At 42.5% G+C, this 22463-nt stretch overlaps 2 long non-coding RNA genes across 4 annotated transcripts in view, besides 2 other annotated features; one reads left to right on the top strand and one right to left on the bottom strand.

Moving 5' to 3' along the window:
• LOC105369617 (uncharacterized) overlaps nucleotides 1-22463 on the bottom strand; it is a 257798-nt gene that overhangs the window by 123363 nt on the left and 111972 nt on the right. The window lies entirely within an intron of this gene.
• Nucleotides 9700-10467: an enhancer, noted in NCBI's record as "OCT4-NANOG-H3K27ac hESC enhancer chr12:5355081-5355848 (GRCh37/hg19 assembly coordinates)". NCBI's record gives its function as "activates a minimal SCP1, AML or CMV promoter by ChIP-STARR-seq in primed H9 embryonic stem cells {active_cell/tissue: H9 hESC(primed)}" and the evidence as "EXISTENCE:reporter gene assay evidence [ECO:0000049][PMID:30033119]".
• Nucleotides 11325-11619: a silencer, noted in NCBI's record as "tiled region #8722; K562 Repressive non-DNase unmatched - State 3:PromF". NCBI's record gives its function as "represses a minimal TATA promoter and a strong SV40 promoter by Sharpr-MPRA in K562 cells {active_cell/tissue: K562}" and the evidence as "EXISTENCE:reporter gene assay evidence [ECO:0000049][PMID:27701403]".
• On the top strand, nucleotides 13231-22386 carry LINC02443 (long intergenic non-protein coding RNA 2443). Of its 2 annotated transcripts, NR_120476.2 has the most exons (5): nucleotides 13231-13314; nucleotides 16270-16494; nucleotides 18059-18175; nucleotides 19298-19378; nucleotides 22046-22386. It is a non-coding gene; the product is annotated as a long intergenic non-protein coding RNA 2443 (long non-coding RNA). The 2 variants fall into 2 exon arrangements; NR_120477.1 differs by lacking the exons at nucleotides 19298-19378; nucleotides 22046-22386 and having other exon boundaries at nucleotides 18059-18334.

The following is a 22463-nucleotide window of genomic DNA, read 5'->3' as shown; positions in this document are numbered from 1 at the left end:
ACCATACAGCTGATTGCCCTTGGTTTCTGTGACCCCATTCTCCTGTGTTATTTTGATATCTGTGTAGCATTGGTGTTTTATCCAAAAGCTGAATAAACTACATCCAAGAGCAAGAATTTTTCACAGATGGCACCATGGTCTTTTCCAGCCTTCATGCACACTCTTCAGCAGCCTTTAATCTTTTTCTGACCTTAGAACGAGCTCAGGGACCATTGTGAGTAATGAACAATTTATAGAAACGGAATGAGCATTGCAAAGGCCTGAGGGGGAGAAGGAAGAGAGAGAGCTCCTTCTTTGGAGCTATGAGAACAAGGTTTGAAGAGAAAGTGCTGGTGCTGAGATGAAGGCTGGCAGTAGGAGACAGTGGGAGTGGTGCCTGACAATGACAGGAGGGCAGCTGTACATGTGAGCAGTGGAGGCGGGGAGGGTGTTCCTTTCCTGGGCTCATTAAGAATGGCCAACAGATTATAGAAAGATGCTCAACATTGCTCATCATCAGGGAAATGCAAATTAAAACCACAATGAGATATCTTCACACCTGTTAGAATTCCTATTACCAAAAAGACAAGAGATGACAAGTGTTGGTGAAGATATGCAGAAAAGGAAACCCTTGCACCCTGTTGGTGGGAATGTAAGTTGGTGCAGCCATTATGAAAAGCAGTATGGTTGTTCCTCAAAAAACTGAAAATAGAACTGTTGTATGACCCGGGATTCCCACTTCTGGGTATATAGCCAAAGGATATGAAATCAGTATGTCAAAGAATTATCTGCAGTCCCATGTTCATTGCAGCATTATTCACAATAACCAAGATGTGTAATCAACCTAAATGTCCATTAGTGGATGAATGGATAATGGAAGCGTAGATTATATATACAATGGAATACTGTTGAGCCTTAAAATAAAGGAAATTTTGCCATTCGCAACAACACAGAGGAACTGGGAGGATACCATGTTAAGTGAAATAAGTCAGGCACAGAAAGATAAATACTGTGTGATCTCACTCATATGTGGAATCTAAAAAAGTCAGACTCATAGACACAGGAGTAGGATGACGGCAGCCGGGGTAAGGGAGAGAGGAAATACAGAGATGTTGGTGAAAAGGTACAAACTTGCAGTTTGTTATAAGATGAATAAATTCTGAAGACCTAATGTACAGTGCATGGGGACTGTAGTTAATCATACTATATTGCATACTTGTAATTTGGTAAAAAATTCGATCTTAAGTGTTTTCACTATGAAAAAATAGTAACTATGTAAGGTAATGGATATGTGAATTAGCTTGATTGTAGTGATGATTTCACGATGTATACGTATATCAAAACCTTAAATATGTACAATTCTTATTTGTCAATTATACCTCAATAAAGCAAGCTGGAAAGAAATAAAACAAAACAAAAGAACAGCCTGAGTTGCTTAATAGCTGGGAAGCAGGGCAGGCCCCACCCCCAGGCTCCTCTCTCTGCCCCGGCCTCTGGTTGTGCAGTTGGCTATCAGGAATGTTGCTTGTGGATTTTCCAGCCCATTGGCTTCTACTTCTTTCTTTCTCTGGCTTTTATAGTCTTCTTTTTTGGCAAGTATACTTATGAAACCAAGGAGGCCAATAGGCCTGTGGTGGCCCAGCACTAGGGCCAGCACTTGGGAGCAAGATTTAAGGAGGCACCCACTTTCGGGGCCAACTCTGCACTAGCACAACCCTGAGGGTGGGGACCATCCTGATTCTTACTCCCTAGGTGGCCCAGGTCCTGCTCAGCACTGCCTGTGTCTGGGTAAGAGTGCCCTGTTCCGTGATTCAGTGTTAGGAAGTACTCTTGCCTGCAGATATAATTTCTCTGATACAAGTTGTATCACAATAATAGAAATGACATTTGTTCTGTTGTTTGCATTGGAGAAAAGCATTTGAGAGGTGGTATTGCATAGTGAGAGTTTGGGCCATAATGCAGAAAGATACCATCCCAAATGCCATAATCCTGAATGTTGAAATCTGGAAAGATCAAAGTCTCAAAAATGTAACTCTGTAAAATGTAACCATAAAAATTCTTTAAAAGACATATATTTACATTTTAATGGGAAATTTATTTGAGAAACATAAAAGCATGACAGAACATTTCATAGACCATTTTATACTATAAAATATGTAATGATAACATACATATTTTTTGCAAACATAAGCACTCAGGTATACTAATGACAGTTGCATGGATATAATGGCTATCTATAACAGATGAACTGTATTCATAAAGAAATTGCTTATATAAATGTGATCATCTGAAATACTGTAATGGACAGCCTAAGCCTTTTGACGAGACCCATCAAAAACTGCAATGGGTCACAAACAGCAAATGCAGTTGCCCAAAGAACAGAGATCACAAAATGTTATCTCTCCAACATGGAGATGTACAGAAAGGACATCTCTTCATTTATACAGGAAATTTCAACATTCTTATGTGTATGCATAATGTTTGCACACAGAGTTAACATTATGATAATGTATTTTCGTGGAGTCAAATTTGCCAAAAATGCATAAAACGAATTAGAACTCTCCAAATGTCTTTACACCGTTTATACCTCCAGTGTTGGAAACAATGCGGAAGTGAAATACATAGCGAATGTAAAATGAAATGTAATGTAAGAAATATGTAAAAAGTGAATGTAAAAAGTAATGCTAACAATTTAAAATAGTGAAGAAGGCCGGGCGCGGCGGCTTACGCCTGTAATCCCAGCACTTTGGGAGGCCGAGGCAGGCGGATCACGAGGTCAGGAGATCTAGACCATCCTAGCTAACACGGTGAAACCTCGTCTCTACTAAAAATACAAAAAATTAGCTGGGCGTGGTGGTGGGCGCCTGTAGTCCCAGCTACTCGGGAGGCTGAGGCAGGAGAATGGCGTGAACCCAGGAGGCAGAGCTTGCAGTGAGCCGAGACAGCGCCACTGCAGTCCGGCCTGGGTGAAAGAGCTAGACTCTGTCTCAAAAAAACAAATAAATAAATAAAATAAAATAAAATAGTGGAGAAAAAAACTACAAAAATAAAAAAAATCCCTCCCCCCCAAAAAAAAATTAAATGAAAATTCAACATATGAAAAAGTCTTACAGGCATAGATTATGGCAATTGCAAGGAGATAGTCTATAAGAGCTGGTTGACTTTCACAATTACTAACTACATTTTGAAGCCTTGCATTGCTTTAATAGTTGCTTTTTATCTTTTATAGCATGGGTCTCCTTGGGAAATAGGTTTACATTTATTGTCTACGTGGTGCTACTCTTTTTGAAATTCTTCTATGATTCCATATACACTTACATAAACTTTTTATATTAAATTTACCCATCTTTTATGCCATGTTTCTGTGTTGTTTTCAGTATGTGGAAATTCATTCTGCATGCACTCCTGTACACACCACAAATATGGCAGAAACAATGCTGATGATGGAACAGCAACAACCTTGTGTAAGTAGCTTCTTATCCTAATGTGCATATAATTATTTTCAAACCTGTCAGTAACTTTGCTGGCTTCTTCAGGCAAATGCAGCTTTAATTCATTAAAAGTTCCTGGAATTTCATCAGCTAGAAGGAATACCTATCCAGGCAAATAATGCATTTTTAACTGAAGTTTTTGTCATTGCCTGATCACGTAGCCGATCCACTCATCTGAATTTTCCACGAAAAGCAAATGGAAAAAATGGAAAAAAACAGACTTCATTGGTAACTCCTTGAAATTTACTTTTAGAAACATTGGTGGCACCTAATTCTTAATCTGTCATGGTTTGGGGATTTAAGTAGGGATTTTAGACTTTAGGAATTTAGACTTTAGGGATTTTGATCTTTTGGGATTTCAGCATTTGGGATTATAGCCTTCGGGATTGGGTCTTTAGACATTATCAACACCACTGGCACAGTGCAAAGGTGCTGAAGTCAGATACTCCGCGCTTGTGTCCTGGTTTGCACATTTACCAGCTGAAAGCCCTGAGCCACTTACTTAATCTCTTGGAGGCCTCAATTTTTTTGTTGGTAAAATGGGAACAATAATAATAACTCCCTTATGGGTTTTTTTCAGGATGAAATGAGTTAATACATAATAAAACACTCAAAAGATGGACATTTAATAAATATTCAATAAATGTTAAATAGTAATAGTTTTTAATAGATCACATGAAGTGGGAAAAAGCACAATCTGTACCTTGATGTTTACATTCATTTAAATATTATTTTAATACTTCATTAGATATTTACATTTATTTATTATGTTAATATTTATTGTAGTTCTACCTTTCTTTAAAATAAATTTGAATACTTGATGATTAAACAGGTTTATTCTTACGTTAAGTTCTATTTTTATAGTGATTGCGTAAGTAATTGGGTCAATGTGTATTTCATTTTCCATCAGGTGCAGAGGTTGGCTCCTGCAGCCCTGTCCCAAGATATCCCCGCCCTGTGCAGAAGTTACCCCAATTGCACGTGCTTTGTCAAGAGAGAGTACTCAGCTGATGAATAGCTTATTTCTGTGGCCCATCATTAATGGCAGTCATCACGGCTTTGTCTTTCCATAGCATTTCCAGTTTCTGGGCAAATAAGCCCCCACGCCTTTGGGCCTGGTATAATGGACACATTACATGAGGTGTTTTAGAATTTCTTAACAAATATGTATTTCACAAATATATCATGATAGGTGTAAGCAGTTTGGAACTACTGGGAAGAACTCCAGCTCCCCATTACCCTCTACTAAATGTACATACCAGTGGTGGGCTGGTAAATATTTGGCAATCGATTCTTTGAGGAAAAAAGAAAAGCCCTGATTGGCAGGTAGCATTTATCAATTTCGTGGTATGAATGCTCCTGCCACGGCCAATCTCAAGCTATCAGTGAATGCATAGTCTGGGGGAAGTGTTTTAAGTCACTGAATGCAGTGTTTGGAGAAGAGGGGAGAAACATTGGTTTTTGTGGATTAGTACAAGCTGGCTTCAGCACATCATTGTCCCTCAAAGTATGCATCCCTCATCGCGAAATTGTCAGATTAGGAATTAATTTCATAAGAGAGAAATTCACTCGCATGAGTCCTTGCATTATCAACTCTGCTAGTACATCATACTTATTTTAGGCCAGACACTATTTTAAGCACATCACAAATATTAACTCATTTAGTTTGCAGAGAAACTATATTTTCTATTTACTGAAGTAATGGAGGCGCAGAGAAGTTAGATAAGTTGCTCAAGGTCACACAGCTGGCAAGTAATAGAGGTGGGATTCAAACCGAGGCAGCCTAGCTCCGGTGCCAGCACTTTTTAATAATGGCACTCTGTTCTCTCTCATATCACAGCATTCTATTTGTTTCCCTAATACATTCAATACAGGCTACAGTTATTTTATTGCTTTGTTACTTTTTGTGTGTATACACCTCTCCTACCAGACTACAAACTTCCTGGGAACAGGTACCATGACAGACACTCAGATAAATAGTACTTAGATGTAAGAATAAATCTTATATCACTCTCTCATATATTCAACAACTGTTAATAGTAAGAGTTATTAATAGATAACGTTGGCTGGGCATATTGGCTCATGCCTGTAATCCCAGCACTTTGGGAGGCCAAGCAGGCGGAACACGAGGTCAGGAGATTGAGAACATCCTGGCTAACGCGGTGAAACCCCGTCTCTACTAAAACTACAAAAAAAAAAATTAGCTGGTCGTGGTGGCCGGTGCCTGTAGTCCCAGCTACCTGGGAGGCTGAGGCAGGAGGATGGTGTGAACCCCGGACGTGGAGCTTGCAGTGAGCCAAGATTGCACCACTGCACTCCAGCCTGGGCAACACAGTGAGACTCCTCTAAAAAAAAAAAAAAAAAAAAAAAAGAGGGACAAACACAATCTACACCTTGATGTTCGTATTTATTTAAATGCTGTGTAGTTTCACCTTTCTTCAAAATAAATTTGAATGCTTAGTTATGATTAAACAGGTTACTACTACTTATGTAAGTCCTATTTTGTAGTTAAATTCTTAAGTAATTGGGTCATTAGGTGTTCATTTTTCATCAGTTCCAGAGGTTGGCTTCTGCAGCCCTCTCTCAAGAACTCATAAAGAGATCTGTCTCTTTACTAGAATATAACATACATGAGGGAAACAGCAGAGACTATATTTGTTGTATTATACTACCAGTAATTAGTACAGTGTTGGGACACAGCTGACACTAATAAATATATCTATGGCATAAATTAATTAAACTGTCTACTTTTGTAGATTTAGCTGTTTCTAACATAACGCTATTAAAGTAGCTCATCTTCAGGCACATCCATGCATATTGCACTTGCCTTTGTTCATACCTATGTGCTTGTCTTGATCTCCTTGGATTCTTGGCATGGGAAGAGACTGAGTCTTATTAACCTCATAGCCCTAGGATACAGTATAATGTCTAATGCCCCGTAGGTGTGCCAAACATGTTTTCAGGCTGAAGCAAACAGTAGATGTTCAGTAAGAACTTATTAATCAGTGGGCTAGTAAGGAAGAAGTTGGTCCTCAAAGCAGACTATGCCTGATAGGAAAGGTGCTCGAGTTGTTAATACAGATGCTGTTAATACATCCTGTGTGCCATCCAGGGTGCTGGTGACAGAGGGACACATTGAAGGATTGTGCCGACGTGCTGTGAATGACTTGGAGCATCACTTTTCAAAAGTAGCAAGGTGCTCCATGAAGAGCACTGGCCTAAGAGCCCAGAGTTCAGAATTTCAAGTCTGGTTCATCCACACATCCACACATGTAGGTGAGTTCCATGTTACCTTGTGGGTTAAGTCTTTTCAGCTTATGATTCTCGATTAAAGACCTAGTATATTCCTAGAAGTAGGAAGTTCATAACCAATAATTGACCTGGAACCCTAAGAGTTAAGCATATGCCTGCTACTGAAGAGCAAAGATGCTGAAGCGCTAACACGTGACCATGTATTCGAACACTTTATTTCATAAATCTCAACGAAGCATAATGACCTGATTAATATTAACTGCCTTGTCTTTGCTTTCCAGGCATGGGGTGAGGATGGAGGAAAAAAAAGAAAGAGGGAGAACTGGAGGGACTGAATTCTTAAGTAGTGTGATTCAATTACCTCCAAAAGATCTCCAAAGATGAGCATGCAATTACTACTAATTGCAAATAGTGCTACTGATAATGATAACAATCCATCACTTTGCTTGGCCCTGTTCTAAACAAGACTACTGGCATTCCCGCTGATTAATCATGTTAGTGATCAGCGTTCAGGGGGCTGCGGTCACTAAGGTTTGGATACTTCTGTTTTCTGAATGGTGGAGTAAGAGGATCCAGAGACCGCAGGAAGTTGTCTAATCCCACCCTCCCCCACAACCCACCTCTGGATTCTGCCTCATCTAACCTAGATACATGAGCATCCTCTCTTCTGATAATCACATTTTTAAAAGCAACAACAGCAACAACAATAACCTTCCTTTAATCAGAGTCCTAGAGTAATCGTTTTTGGAAACTGCTTCCTGGTGACCAATGTACCTCATTTTTGTTGCAGTTTATCCTTGATTGGAGCCCAGGACCTAGAAGGGTGGACACAGATGCTAGAGAGTACAGTTCTGTTTCCACGTCTATGGACCTACACAGCAAGAAATGGAACCTTGATTTTTCTGCCTATAAGACAGAAATGATACCAATTATTGTCTCTTTCCCCACCGTTCTGTTGCAGTTGAAATTGCATGGGAAATCCATAGTGTGTCTTTGAGCAAACAGCTCTGTATATGTAAATCAGAGATTATTCCGGGCTTTCTTCTGGTACTTCTAAAAAAAATCACTATGACTGTGCATGTCAGAAAATTAACGGACCATTCACACCTAAACAAAAAACAATCCTGGTTAACTATTGTTATTAATGCATCTCTTTGGCAACAGAACACATGGCAAATATCTCGTATGATGAAACAGTCCAACCCAGAGATGACACAGTGAGGCAGTTTCTTAAGAGATGCTGGCATTGCTCTGTACCCTCCACAGCCAGCCTGGCACAGATGCAGGCAGCTCCTCCTTGCCACTCATGCCTGGGTTATCCACTCCATTATTCCTCCAAAGAAGCTTTGAGTCCCATAGTGATTTCCTCCTACCAATTCTGCATTGAAAAGTCACACATCATTATAAAAGTTAAATGTTTTTACCTCTCCCCCCAAAGTGAAAGGAAGACAGACACAAAAGCAAGGGGATGAAGCTTCCCAAGGCCAGTGCAATTTGGTCTCTCCTTTGCCTTGGATTCTCCACACCAAAGTTCTGACTATGTCGGTAGAGTTCCACCTGATTCTATTAGTGGAGGGAGCATCCTACTGTATGCCTTGTATACCTAGCAGATTGTTTCTCAGTAAAATGGAGCTAATCTCCCTGTAGGGAATTGTAAGCTTCTACAACGACAGAAAACAGCTCGACAGAAAACAGCTATATCATTGTGCAAGGCATCAGCTGACTCTCTCCTGTATGCCTGCTTTGATCCTGAAATATGGAAGCCTAGCCATAAAAGGCGCTAGACAGGGGAGTTCCCCAAGGCAGTGTTGTTGGTTTGGAGTTAGAGATCCTGGAGGATCAGGTTAAAGTAGCCCTCGTCCTTTTTTGTGCAGAGCCAAGTGATCATCCTCATTGTCTACTTTTCCAGATGCAGGTACCTGAACATGCCTGAGCATCCTTATTTGTCTTTCCCAGAATGATCCACTTGTATGGGTTCTTCTTCAGATGCAACATATCATTTTATACCCATTATACAGGTACTCACACAAATACAAAGGGTAATTTTTAGAGTAAAAACCTAGCACTGGATCAATAGGCTCCTGTGATACACGCGAGTTCCCCTACAGTCTTAGCTTAGCTCTGAGGAGGGGACCCCCAAAAGCTGAGGCCAAAAGGGTTCATAAGCAGAGGGTGTCTAGTTCTAAAATTCCCACACTCTTCCAACCTCAGTTCAAATCTGTGGTCACAGTCACTCCACATAGTTGTCATTCTTAAGCCACCAGGAAGATGTGGCAGTGGAAAATATCTAGGGCTTTGCTGCAGGCCTGAACTCGGCTTCTCATGCAACCAGATGCTGGAATCCATCAGGCGGCCCTGGGAGACACAGCTGCCTCTAATCTCCCATGTTTCACTCTGATTTCCAATCTATGCCACCGATAACACCCTGATCCACTACCTATATACCAGGGGGAAGTTTCTGGAACCACAGTGAGCAGGAAGTTACCTGGTGGGCCTGTTTAATATGTATCTAAGTCCTATCCCCAGAGTTCCTGACTCACTAGGGGTGGTGTACAACAGGAGAAATCTGAATTCCATCCAGCTCCTCAGGTGATCAAATGCACTCAGATGTGGAGAGCATGCTGAGGTCCACAGCAGAAGTGGGGGCTCTTTCTGTCTGTGAATTCTAGTCTGGAGACCTGAGACTTCATACTTGTTTCTTTTTCATTAACCTCTCAGGATTCAGTTTCTTTGTCTATAACATGGGAGAGAGAGTCCATCCTTCCTATAAGGTTCTATTTTTTTTAGCAAAATGAGGGTCCAGGGGATGGCATCCCTGTAATGGGTTAAATCATGTCTCCCAAAACCAATATGTTGGAGTCCTAATTCTCACTACCTCAGAATGTGACATTATTTGGAGATGGGGTCTTTACAGAGGAAATCAAGTTAAAATGAGTTCATTAGGATGGATCCTAATTCAATATGACAGGGGTCCTTATAAAATGGGAAAATGTAGACATGGGGAAGTGTATGCAGTCAGGGAGAATGCATGTGAAGGTTGGAGTTGTGCCGCTGAGAGCCAAGGAACTCCCAGAAGCTAGAAAAGAGGTCTGGAACAGACCCTTCCCAGCCCCTTCAGAGGGAGCATGATTCTGCCTACACCTTGATCTCAGGTTTCAGCCTCCAGAACTGTGAGACAATAAATTTCCATTGTTGAGGCTGCCCTGTCAGAGGCCCTTTGTTAAGGAAAACTTAGGAAACTCGTGCATGCCTAACGCTCTTTGTTCCCCAGGCACAGGAATCTGAGGAGTCTTCCTCAATGAGATGTGTGAGTACTCATGGGCCATTGAGCTCCTTCTGCTTCTTGTTTGTCAGAGTTAAGGCTCCACTAAGCAGGGCTCAGCAGAGGGCCTGGTTCCCTCCCATTCCTTTTAGTTCCTTCAAGTGGAGTAGTCAGGAGATCCATGTCACTCCGAGTTACTCCACTGCAAAAATCAACACCAGACCTCCTAAAAGGCAACAGGACTGTATCAACTCAGGTGATGGGGGAAGGTGTACACTGTCAGTTAACATCAATTGAGCTCTTACCAAAGACCAGACACTCTTCCCACTGCTGTGTATAGATATTATTCGGGACATTTCACAGATGAGGAAACTGAGGGACAAAGACATGAAGTCACTTCCCAAGGTTACACACCTAGGAAGTGGGCAAATGCCAGTCTGGTCCAGTAGACACAGAGAAAAAGAACGGTATGAAGTACAGAGAGATCCGTTTAATCACAATTTTTCTAAAAGATTACTTTTGAACTAGTTCTTAGTGAAAAATGTTCCTACTAGTCAAAAAAAAGGTTGTGGGCTGGGTTCAGTAGCTCACACCTGTAATCCCAGCCCTTTGGGAGGCAGAGGCAGGAGGATAGCTTGAGCCCAGAAGTTCGCAATCAGCCTGGGCAACATAGGGAAACCCTGTCTCTACAAAAAATAATAAAAAAAAAAAGTTCGTCTAGCATGATGGCACACACCGGTGGACCCAGCTACTTGGGAGGCTGAGGTGGGAGAATGGGAGGATCGCTTGAGCCAGAGAGGTCAAGGCTGCAGTGGGCTATGATCACACCACTGCTCTCCAGCCTGGGCAACAGAGTGAGACCCTATTAAAAAAAATATGTGTGTAGGAGTGAAAGAAAGACTTCCTCTAGAGAAGGTGTGAAGCTTCTGCCAAGTGTGGGTGGGGTCGCTGTGTTCAGGGAGGTCTAAGACATTGGGCCTGGAGAGAGGCGTGTGAAAACAGAGTGCAAACCCCGTTCCTAGTTCCTATTCCTTACTGATTTCCAGAGATGGTCACCATGAAGAGGACGCACTATTTTTTCTAGGACATGCTGTCCTAACAAGCCACTACCATCATCATCACCATTATCATCGTTTTCCCTGAAATTAATATATTATTTTGCAATCTATAAATGCCTCTCACAAGATTTTCTTCAATTCACTCATCAAAACAAGCTATGAAATAAGCAGAACCCCAATCCAGAAGAAGGAGGACTGAACCAATTTCAGTGATTTGCTTGAGATCTCCAGCTGGCTTCTTTTAGAGGCCGGCTTGAAATCCAGAAGAGCTGACCCTCTCTACCTACCCGGGCTCCTTGCACTCTAGCCCTGACCCACTCCCCACCCCAAGCTGTGGGCTGCCAGGAGCTGTTGGTGATGGGTGCTCTGTCTAAACCCCTGCTCCTCCTTGCCTTGCTAATTATCCCCAAAGCTCCCCGCCCAGAGGAATTCAGAACATGCTGCAGTTATTTGTGGAGCACTTTGTCTCTGGGAGATGGGGGGCTTACACAGCTCGGAAAAAGCAGCACTTGCCCACACAGACAACACTGCCTAGGGCTATTAATATCCAAGCACAATAGCTTCAGGACGAGGTGAAGTGTGGCTCACCCTGGCCACAGGGCTTCTCAGCCATGGAGACTGTTTTATTTTACAGCAGCCCTGCAAATACTGCAGCAATCAGACTCTTGCCCCACCTTCTGATCCAGTGTAAACAGCAGAAGAAAGGGGGAGGGCCTTGCATGAAACTGCAATTGCCTGTCCTCACGGTGTGTCCTGGGAGATAAGGACAAATGGAGACTTGAAGTCTCAAAATAATATTTGATTAGTGACCCCCCAACCCCCGCTTTTTCTAAAGCATCCCAAGCATTCTACATTTGTTGTCTTTCTCAGTCTTAAAGTTATCTTTGTGCATAGGGAAAGGGTCAACACTTTTATACTTATTCACTCACAAAACTTGTATTGATTATCTACTATGTGTCTAAAGCACCTGGGCTCTGGTGATACTAAGACAAGGATGATAGAGTGCATTCCCTCAAGCTTGTAGCGTGATGGAGAAAGACAGTTCATACACTGTTATATCACAGTGTGATTATTGCTGAAATAAAGCTAAGCATAAGAGGCTATGACAGCACAAAAGAAGGAGTGAAAACTCAGTTTCGAAGGGACAAAGTCAAGGAGACTTCAAAGATGAGAAATGATTGCACTGGGCCTTAGAGAGGAAGTTCAGCAGAACAAGGTGGGAAGGGCACGATATCAGAGGTAAGGGTATGTGCAAAAGCAGGGAAATATTGACCCGTCTGGAGGCCAAGAGAGGGAATCCAGGTAATTTCCAGAGAGAGAGAGAGGGGAAGTGTGGTAGAGAAGAGAGAAGATGGACAGGAAAGAACAGACTTGCAAGTCATTGAATGTCTTGGGGCCTCAGTTTCTGAAGACAGGATTCTCATGAGCCCCTCTGAGTGTTTTTGCACTGGGTGATAGTGACAACTACATGTCTCGCTGTGTGCCCAGGCCTCATAGCCATGCACTCCAAAGGCTCTGTGAGGGGCTTCAGGTTCTCCTGAAGTCTAGAGCACTTTAAGAACTAGTGTGTCTCAAGGCAGAGAATGCTTTGCTTGAAGATGTGTGTGGCTCAATGATGGCCAAGGCAGACATGAGAGAATGAAGATAATGAAAACCCACCAGCTGTGACTAATGAAACCAAGCCCACTCTCATCTGCTTTGGGAGCATGAAGGCTGGGAAGGACCCTCTGACTGGCACATCAGCCTGCAGGGTTCCCTTGCTTATTTGTAAAATTTGGGAATCTGCTGACAGACTGACGTATTATTAGTGCAAATTACCCAGGTTCATCTGTAGCCCTAGCTCTTTGCTTCAAAAAAGATCACAAAGCCTGAGGTACTTCAAGATTGAACTGTGAAATGTCATTAGCTAAAACTCAGTCCTCACAGCTCCCAGAACTAATTATAGAGCTAGGAGTGGCTGGGGCCAGACCCCTCTGATATAAAAAGATTTTATGAAAGGCGAAAGGGGGGAGGCAACAATAATTCTCACCCTATTATATTCCTTTCAATTATTTACAGTAAGAGGCACTGATGGTGAACAAATATAGAGACTGGAATCCAGTGACGTCACACAGGCGCTCTGGAAGCCAGTGATGCAGTATCAGAATCTGGGAACACAATGAGGCAATGTTTCAGCTGCTTGTGCATTCTTCACCTCCCATTGTCTCTGTCTCTCTCTTTCTCCTCTGCTTCCCCTCACCCCACAACCAAAGTCAAGAGCGCAGACCCCATGGTAAGGATTCTCATCTTCATCCCACAGCCAGGACTTGGCAATATCTTTTATCAAGGGTTTTAACAGGACATTCGCAGTCTTTCTCCTAACCACACGGTTGGGGGCGGGGGTGCAATGAATGCTGGAAGCCCAAGGGCAGCGTTGGGACGGAGCTAGTCAATGTGGCCTACGGACCCTCTGGGTGTCACATGGCCACTAGGAAGCCCTTGAGCAAAAGCTCCGCAGCACCAAAGATTCCTGTGCTCTTCTGGATGCCCAGCCTCCCTTGTATGAGGTTGGAGCCTCGACTTGCTGACTTCTGGCTAACGAAATAAGCACAGTGAGATAAGCTGCGTGAAGCATGCCCCTTACAGACAGCCTGCAAGATCCTTCAGCTCTTTCTTCCTCCACCACAGTGGCCTTAGATGGCACATATACCAGATGGTAGAGCTCTGAGACAGAGCCCGCTTGACCCACCTGTTATTGGACTTCGATGTCAGCAAGAAACAAATGTTTGCGGTAACATTAAGCCACTGATGTGTCAAGGTTTGTCTGAGGTGACAGTGAACATTGCTTTTTCTAAATCGTATAAACCTCTGATAGCACAGGCACTAGGCATGGAGATATTCATTGAGCACAGTGAAAAAAGTCCACTATATTAAATAAATTCCTCTATTTTTCTTGACCTAAATATTTATGTTTCAGAGAATCCTTGACCTGCAGGTTGAAGGAGAAGTCATAGTAAATAAGTCACTGGAGATAGATGGGCAGATGCTTATGTTACCGTCTTGGAGCTAGAACAATTTAATTCTCTCAAGGGTAGTGGGGGAAGGGAACCTCATGGGGGTTGCTGTGTAATCAGAAATGGTGAGCTAAATAGCAACAAACTTTGGTAACGGTTTTTTGCAAATGCTTATGTACACACACACACACACACACACACACACACCCTTTTTCCCTGTGGAATCATCTTGCAATGTATGTCCATCATTGGAAAATTCTCTAATAGAGAAAATCAGTTGGTATACCCATTATCTTGGACATTGTGTTTATATTTCTGGATGGTCCAGGACCCCTAGCAGTCTTTTTTTGTTTGTTTGTATTTTGAGACCGAGTCTCACTCTGTCGCCAGACTGGAGTGCAGTGGCGCAATCTCGGCTCACTGCAACCTCTGATTCCTTGGTTCAAGCAATTCCCCTGCCTCAGATTACAGGCATGTGCCACCACGCCCAGCTAATTTTTTTGTATTTTTAGTAGAGACTGGGTTTCACCATGTTGGCCAAGTTGGTCTCGAACTCCTGACCTCAGGTGATCCACCCGCCTTGGCCTCCCAAAATGCTGGGATTACAGGTGTCAGCCACCGCACCTGGCCCTAGCTGTCTTTTTGAACCAATGAAAATTTCTTTTCTTTAATAAATTCTTTTGTGTTTTTCTATAATTTCCCTCCTTTCCTTCTATCTCTACGTCAAGCTCTAACCTCTGACCTCAAATATCTGGCTTCTTTTCTTATAATCTTTCAGAAAAGGGCACATTAAATAGTGTAGAAAACAAGACTCCCATAAATGTAGACAGGCAAAATATCCTGCGTAAGTAGCCAGAGGACTGTGATCAGAGCGGGTCCCAACACTTGGGACCTTCCTTAAGTCAGGCATTAGATGGTTTTTATCAACTGGTCATTAAGGCACAAAATTAGAAACAAGACAGCTCCAGAGTCCATTCTATTTGGCTGTTCAAAGCATTGTGTCAGGAGTCATTTAACCCAGGGATTGCACTGGAGAGGATGTGTGGAGGAGGTTTCTCTGCCATGTCTCCCTTGGCACCATCTCCTTCCTAATTGCCACCTTGCTGAGGCAGGCACTCACACCTCCTCTTCCAGGACATTGCAGTAGTCTTCTTCTATTTCTTCTCCTCCAGTTTACCCTATTTGCTGCTGTCAGAGTACTCTCCCAAGGTACAACACTGACCATTCCTGTGCTCAGAAGCCTTCCCCATCTCCCCACTACTTTGTGCCAGAAACTTAACCTGGCATTCAGAGCCTCCAAAATCTGTACCCACTCTACTCTTTCGAGCCCACCTTTCTCTACTCCTTTTTCCATACTTTTAATCAAACTTCCTGTATCAGTTATATCCCATGCCTCCCCACCAACTTCTTCAAGGCCACCATACTCATCTCTGACTGGAAAAATTCTATGAACCTTTTGAGACTTATCTCAGCTGTCACTCCCACGTCATAACGCCATGGCTTCCCTACTTAACCCAACACTGTGCATATATGGTCTCTCCCAGTTTAAAATGCCCCAGGACTTTGAACTTGTCATCTATAGCTAACACGTTCAGCCTTCTATTGCAGTTGTTGTTATTTATTTAGTTCCACTATTAGAGAATCAGGCCTCTGAGAGTGAGCATCATGCACTATTCATGGTTCCTCTTTAACGGTGCATGTCTGTCCTTTTGCAGGGTAGTTACTTAATAAATATGTGGGCTATTGAATTGAATACAGGGCAGCCTAACATTAAAATTTAACCAGGCTATTATCCAAAGTGGGAATCAAGAGTTGACCGAACTTTCCTGAAACTTGATCAGGTCAATCTTTAAAGAGCAGCCTTTCTTGGAAAAATAAAGGGGAGCGGGGAGGGACTCAAGTCATCAGCAAAATAAATGGTAGCCCCCAGATTTTAGAGCTTAGCCAAGGGTTTGTCCATCTGCAAAACAAGGTCTGGCACTACACCCCCACAGAAGAACAAATTGCACAGCTTATGGTTCAGAAGGCTGCACAGGAAGAGATAGTACTCTCCATTTACCAAATGTTTTCTGACTCTTTCCGCTAATCGGGAATCTCCATTAGAAAGTGACACCAGGTGTGTGTCACTGAGGTTCACCCACTCTCAGGCCTGCTGGTGCCTCCCAGACCCTTTGATCCTCTGCTCCCATTGTCTCCTGAAACCAATCCTTTCCATTTTGTATTTTTCCTCCTAGATCACCTGATACTTCCAAGCAAGCAGGTGTTCTTTTCAGAAGCCAGAAGCTGATAACCTGGGCTTTCTGATCTAACCCCAGCCCAAATTCATTGCAATGGAGGAATTGGGGAGGAGATTCTTCCTACTGAGAAGTGGGTGCCAACTCTCCCTTTCAAATTTGTTCATCAACAAACTAAAGGGGATGCCAGAAATGTCTGGAGCAATGGAAGAACCACTGGAATAAGTAAATAACTTTACAAGACAATTGTAATGTGGAATTCAATTAGTCCTATTCTTTGTAGACCTCACTTAAGGAATTATCTTCACAGCTTGATTATAAATTCATTGGTGCAAAAAATAATGTCTTAGATTATTTTCGTGCCTCATGTTAGGTCCAGTCCTAAATTGAAAACATGATAGAATCCTATGCCTCGTTGATTTGTTGCTTCTTTAGTTGTTCCTGGATTAGATGTTTTCTTGGATTATACCCCTCACTGGTCTCTTCTACTAATTAAAACAGCTAGTTCAAAATAGTTGCTCAATACTTGATTAGTTCTCATAGAAAGCTCAGTGGAAAAGTAGGCACGTTTGTCATTCTCCAGATACTTTGAAATCAAGAGTTTGAGATCAAGACCAGAGAGTGTGAGTAATTTTCCAAATATCACTCAGTAAACCAGGTATAGAAACCCCTAAATTGGGGGAAAATTTTACAAGAATAGAGATTGGCCTCATAGTAGGTGAATCCATTGAACAAAGTCAATTGATTTATGTGGTTGCATTTTTTAAAACAGAGAGTCCTCATTGCCTAAATCCATCTTGATCGCAACTCAGTGTCCAACATCTAAGGAGAAATGGATTTAACAGAATATGATAACATTGGCTTATCTTGAGTCATTCCTCTTGTTCAAAAGGACAAACCACCACTAACTTTCCACAGAATTAGCTCCTGAGGGATACAGATATGTGCTGAGGCAAGGGAGAGTGAAAGCATTAGGCTGGGCTTGTCCTCACGACCTGCTTTCGATGTTCAGCCAAGCACCAATTTATTCCTCCTTATGTTTCCCAGAACACAAAGGGAACTTCTATAGTATGGTCAGTGACTGTCTTCAAACACATGGAGATATGATAGCATACCAGAAAGCAATGTCCTGCTCAAGCATCCTAGCCAATGGATAGGGATCTGCTGCAGGTCTATGTCCATACCCAGGGGCAAATCTTACATTTACACATAGGCTCCAAGATTCCTCCAGAAATCCAAGATTCAGATCAAACTGTACACATCTCCCCTTGCTTGGCTGGCCCCAGGGATACAAGCTTAGGATCAAAGGCAATAGTGCTTCCATGACATTATATTCATGGACTAATTCTAGGCATCTTTACAATCTGTGGTGCAATCTATTTGTATGATGAGCATTAATATTTTAAAACACTTTCAAGATTTGGAGTGCAGGCAACAAAGCTTGATGGTGCAATAGGAAGACCAGAGTGCACTTTTGCCAAAAAAGCTAAGACGGCTTCATTTCCCCCACAATAAATCTACTGAGATAAGTAACATAATATTTTTCTCAAACTTGGAAGAAGCAGAGACTTTTGGATCAGGACACCTGAGTTTGGGTGGAGTTGTTTATTAATTGTGTGACTTTTAGCAAATTACTTCTCCTGAGTCTCAGTTTCTTCACTTGAAGAATAAGAACCTAATACCTACTTCACGTGTGTATAAGGATGAAATGGGATAATAATATATGCATAAGTGCTTTGAAAACAGTAAAGAACAATACAAATATGCCTTTCTATTGTTTTATTCACAGTGCTCCTGCCTGATTGTATCTACTTAACCCACTCTCCAAGAGCCAGAATCAGATTTCAACCGTATGGAATCATCTACAATGCAGCAGATGGGTTTACAAGTCTCTTGGTCTCTTCATGTAATTAACAGCCAAGAAGTCTAAAGCTTGCATTGTTTACGTGGAAGATGTTTCTTGCCCATTCCCATGCCATGCCATCTGAAATCGCTCCTTTTTTTATTTTTTCTGTGCAGTTTTTTTAACTTTGTGGGATCCTCTGCATATAAAACTCCATTCAACTACTTCATCCTACTGTAGAAAGCTACTTCCCTATGAGTTTAGCTCCATGATTTACAATGGTTTCTTTTCCCATTTGCTGTCTGAATTATGTTTCACAAGAACCATTTGAAATAAGGAAGGCATGTATCATCTTTCCCTTTTACAGGCAAAGAAACTGAGGCACAGAAAGGCTTAGTAGTAGGTGATCCTGCAAGAATTCAAATGACTTGTCTGGTTCTAAGTTGAGTGCTCTTTTTCTGATGCCACATGTCTTTTCTCCAGAGAAGTAACCTACCTAGACCCAGAGGGATCTTGAAGAGAGATTTTCATCTTACTGTGAGAAAACAAAGACCCAGAGAGTGGAGGGTTTAAGACCATCCCGGTCATTGCCATTATTTCTTTTCAAAGAGACAGAGGCCTCTGTGTGGAGCTGCTTCTGTGTTTGTGGTGTGAATTTTGCTGGTGAGATGTGAGGCTCAAAAGAAATTTGAGAGATTGTGTCTGACCTTAAGGAATTTACTAAGAAACCAGGGAAATAAAGCTATCTTACAAGATGCTTAAAACAACAACTAAAGGCAGCCTTAGATTGGGAGGTACTCCCTCCAAGATAGAACTTTCTTAACCTTTGCTTTGAAGTCTGGTTTCTTTTTCAAGATCCAGAAGCATAATCCGTAGTTAGATTTAGGTTCAAGCCCTTCCTAACTGATCATGTTCTAAATTCCTATAGTGGTCATCAATGTCATGTCAGCTCATGTGAAGGTTTTTTCTCCCTTTTTTTTTAGTGGTGAGGAAAAGATGTAGTAGTATTTTTCATGGACTTTGCAGCCTTCTTCATGGCAAATAACTTATTGGATTAGCTTTCGGTTCTTTTTAATCAAGGAGCTCTACATCTGACTTAGTAGAATACTTTTTCTCAAGGAGAATTGGGTGTCTTACTTCACAGTTGCTGAAGTAACCTGTGCTTTCTCCCCTGACTCTTCCCAGGAAGAAGGCGCAGCAATCGTGTCCCAAGTCCTTGAGGACTTCACAGGGTGTTCTAGTGTCCTGAGAATATACCTGCCTAAGGTAAGGCAGTCATGGTACCCTGGGATTGATGCACTTCTCACCCTCCACTTTGACTGTCAGAGGCATTCATAAGACTTTCTACATAGGGGATCCTTGGGCTGGCAGAGGTGGTCTTTGGATATGCAACGGCTACGTGCTGGCCTACAGAGCCCCTTTCCTGTCCTAGTACTCTGCCTGCTAAGATAGAGAACGGAATTGCCATGACTTTATAGTCTCTGAACACCTTTACCAAAACCACCTGGTTCTTAGGACAGACAAGTGGGATTAAAGAGAGGGAAAGCTCTGGGCCCATAGTTGATTTTGAAATGGGACATGGAATGGTGCAGGTGGGGATTCAGCAGCCATATTGGACTGAGGTTTGCAAACCCTCAGTGATGGCAGGCCCTACGGGAGTGCTGGGGCAGTCAAGTTCCAGAGGCCAGGCAATGTGGCATTTGGAGTCAGAAAGAAAGATCTGGCCATGAACTCCTGTTCCTCTCTATACCCTCTGTATGACCTTGAGCTTGTTGTTTAACTTCAGAAACCTTCCATGTGGCCTGTCTCCTGGGAGAACTGTATTAGTTACAACATACGTAGGCACTCAAAAACGCTGGCTAGCTGTCATCATTTTTATCCTATGCTATGTACAGAGAAAAACATGATCCAAATAGAGTAAAGAATTACAAAGATAATTCCTGGCCTAGGACCAGAAGACTTTCCTAAAGCGAATTAATTAAATATATAAATGTGTAATATTAAATATATATTTAATTAATTAAATATATAAATATTAAATATATTTGAACATATAAACATTAAATGATTAAACATATAAATATTAAATATATATTTAATTGATCATATAAAAATAATTATATCTTTTAAATATATATCATATATTTATAATAAGCAGTAGTGTAGGGGGCAAAGCTACATGGCAAAAATCATGAAGTTGGAAAACAGAGAGACAAGGGTATATCCTAGCCTTGCATCTCCGCTGCCTAGCTGCCTAATCAAGTAAGCTTGGGCTAATCATGATCTCTGTCTTTCTCAGGTTTCTCATCTCTTAAATAAGTATAATAAGATTCCCCTCGTCTATTGTGCAGAGAAAATTTGTGAAGGAAAAAATACCATTCTGTGTGTCAAGCTGCTCTGAAAACATAAAGTTGTCTGTGATTATGAAAGATGATGATTAGTTAAACCTAAATAAGGCTCTGGAAACTGAAATATCCCCACACCTTACGACCAGAGCAACATCATCACATTTGATTCTTCTCTTTCCTCACTCTCCACTCTGCCCAGCACACCATTCTGACCTGCTGCTCCCTCTCCACTGCTCAAGTGCTCAGGATTGCATGGTGTCCTCAGCAACATACATTGGAAAACCATTTTTAAAAAGGCACAAATGGGCTGGGCACAGTGGTTCACGCCTGTAATGCCAGCACTTTGGGAGGCCAAGGTGGGTGGATCACCTGAGATCAGGAGTTCGAGACCAGCCTGGCCAACATGGAGAAACCCCATCTCTACTAAAAATACAAAAATTAGGCCTGGCACAGTGGCTCACGCCTGTGATCCCAACACTTTGGAAGGTCGAGGCAGGCTGATCACAAGGTCAGGAGTTCGAGACCAGCCTGACCAACATAGTGATATCCCATCTCTACTAAAAATACAAAAAATTACAGGCGTGGTGGCAGATGCCTGTAATCCCGGCTACTCAGGAGGGTGAGGGAGGAGAATCACTTGAACCGAGGAGGCGGAGCTTGCAGTGAGCCAAGATCTCGCCACCGCACTCCAGCCTGGGTTACACAGTGAGACTCCATCTCAAAAAATATATATATATAACAATAATAATAATAATAATAATAATAAAAGGCACAAATGTAGCAATCATCTATGCGGGGGCAGGGAAGACAAATTTGATTAAGGACAACCCTGCTCCCCCGGAAGTTATAGTGCAGAGCAGCACTATCGTTCTCACAGCGGGTGGGTGATGGGGATTTCAGGGAGTCCATCCACCTGTGCTCACTGAGCCTAGGCCTGGACCATTTGCCCAGCCAATTCATCCCTTTCATCCTCCTTCCTTCAGGCAAGTGCTGCCTCCTCCAAAGCCTTTCTCAAAAGACCTTTGAGATTCCCTAGACTGAACTCTATGAATGTTCTTTCCGTTTCCCCAGGAATTTGGCTATAGCTGGTATTGGGTTCCTCAAACCAGCCCACCTGCGCTATGGGAATGTCAAAATTGTCCTGGCAAGCTGAGGGGGCATCCAGAGGTCACCCAGCTTTCCCCTGAAGCGTTGCTCAGAGGCCACTGTACCATAAAAGGGAGTTCCCATCCCACACTGGTTCTGAAAGCCCTGGTGTCCAGGCCCGTGTTGTGATCTTTTCTCCTCTGCCTAGGGCGTATCTGTTAGGGAGACTCCCATGAGGGAGGGGAGCCGAGGGAAGAGGCTGAGTGAGGTGAAGAGAGTGTGTTTGTCCCTCCAGCTGTGCCAGGGTCTTCTCAGCCCTTCTCACAGAGGGCTGTCTGTGGACCTCTGTTCCTGGAATCACCCCTCTGCACCACCCAAACTCCCTGATTATGAATTACACAATACATCCCTAATTCAAGCATGCTGCACCGGTTTTCTGTAGTCACATGAAAATTAACTTACAGAAATTCACTTTTATTGAATACCTACTGTGTGGTAGGCACTGTGGTGGGATTCTGCCATTCGAGAATCTCAGACTAAGATCATCTGTTTCAACAAGCATCGATCAAGCACCCACATTGCAGCTGGCACTCTGCTTGATGGTGAGATGAGTGTCAAGACCAGTTCCTTATTTTACAGGGAAGGCCATCAAGGTTGAAAGTGGAAATTTCCCAAGGTCAGAGACAGAGTGGTAGAGCCAGTCCATGCATTCTGGTCTCCTGTCTCCTGTTCCAGTGCTCATTCGTGACACTGCTGCTCTCCCTAACACTTCATCCCACGAGAATACTCTTGAGAATATTGTTCTTGGCTGTTCCAAATAGAAAGATCATCTGTCCATTATTCAGGTGATATGGGCTGAGGTCTTGCCTCTTCTAGTCACTTGGAGAAAGTTCCAGAAGCAAAGACTATGTACCTAA

The sequence above is a fragment of the Homo sapiens genome, chromosome 12, assembly GCF_000001405.40.
Source record: "Homo sapiens chromosome 12, GRCh38.p14 Primary Assembly".
In the NCBI taxonomy this organism is placed as follows: Eukaryota; Metazoa; Chordata; class Mammalia; order Primates; family Hominidae; genus Homo; species Homo sapiens.
This window is presented reverse-complemented; position numbering and strand designations above follow the sequence as displayed.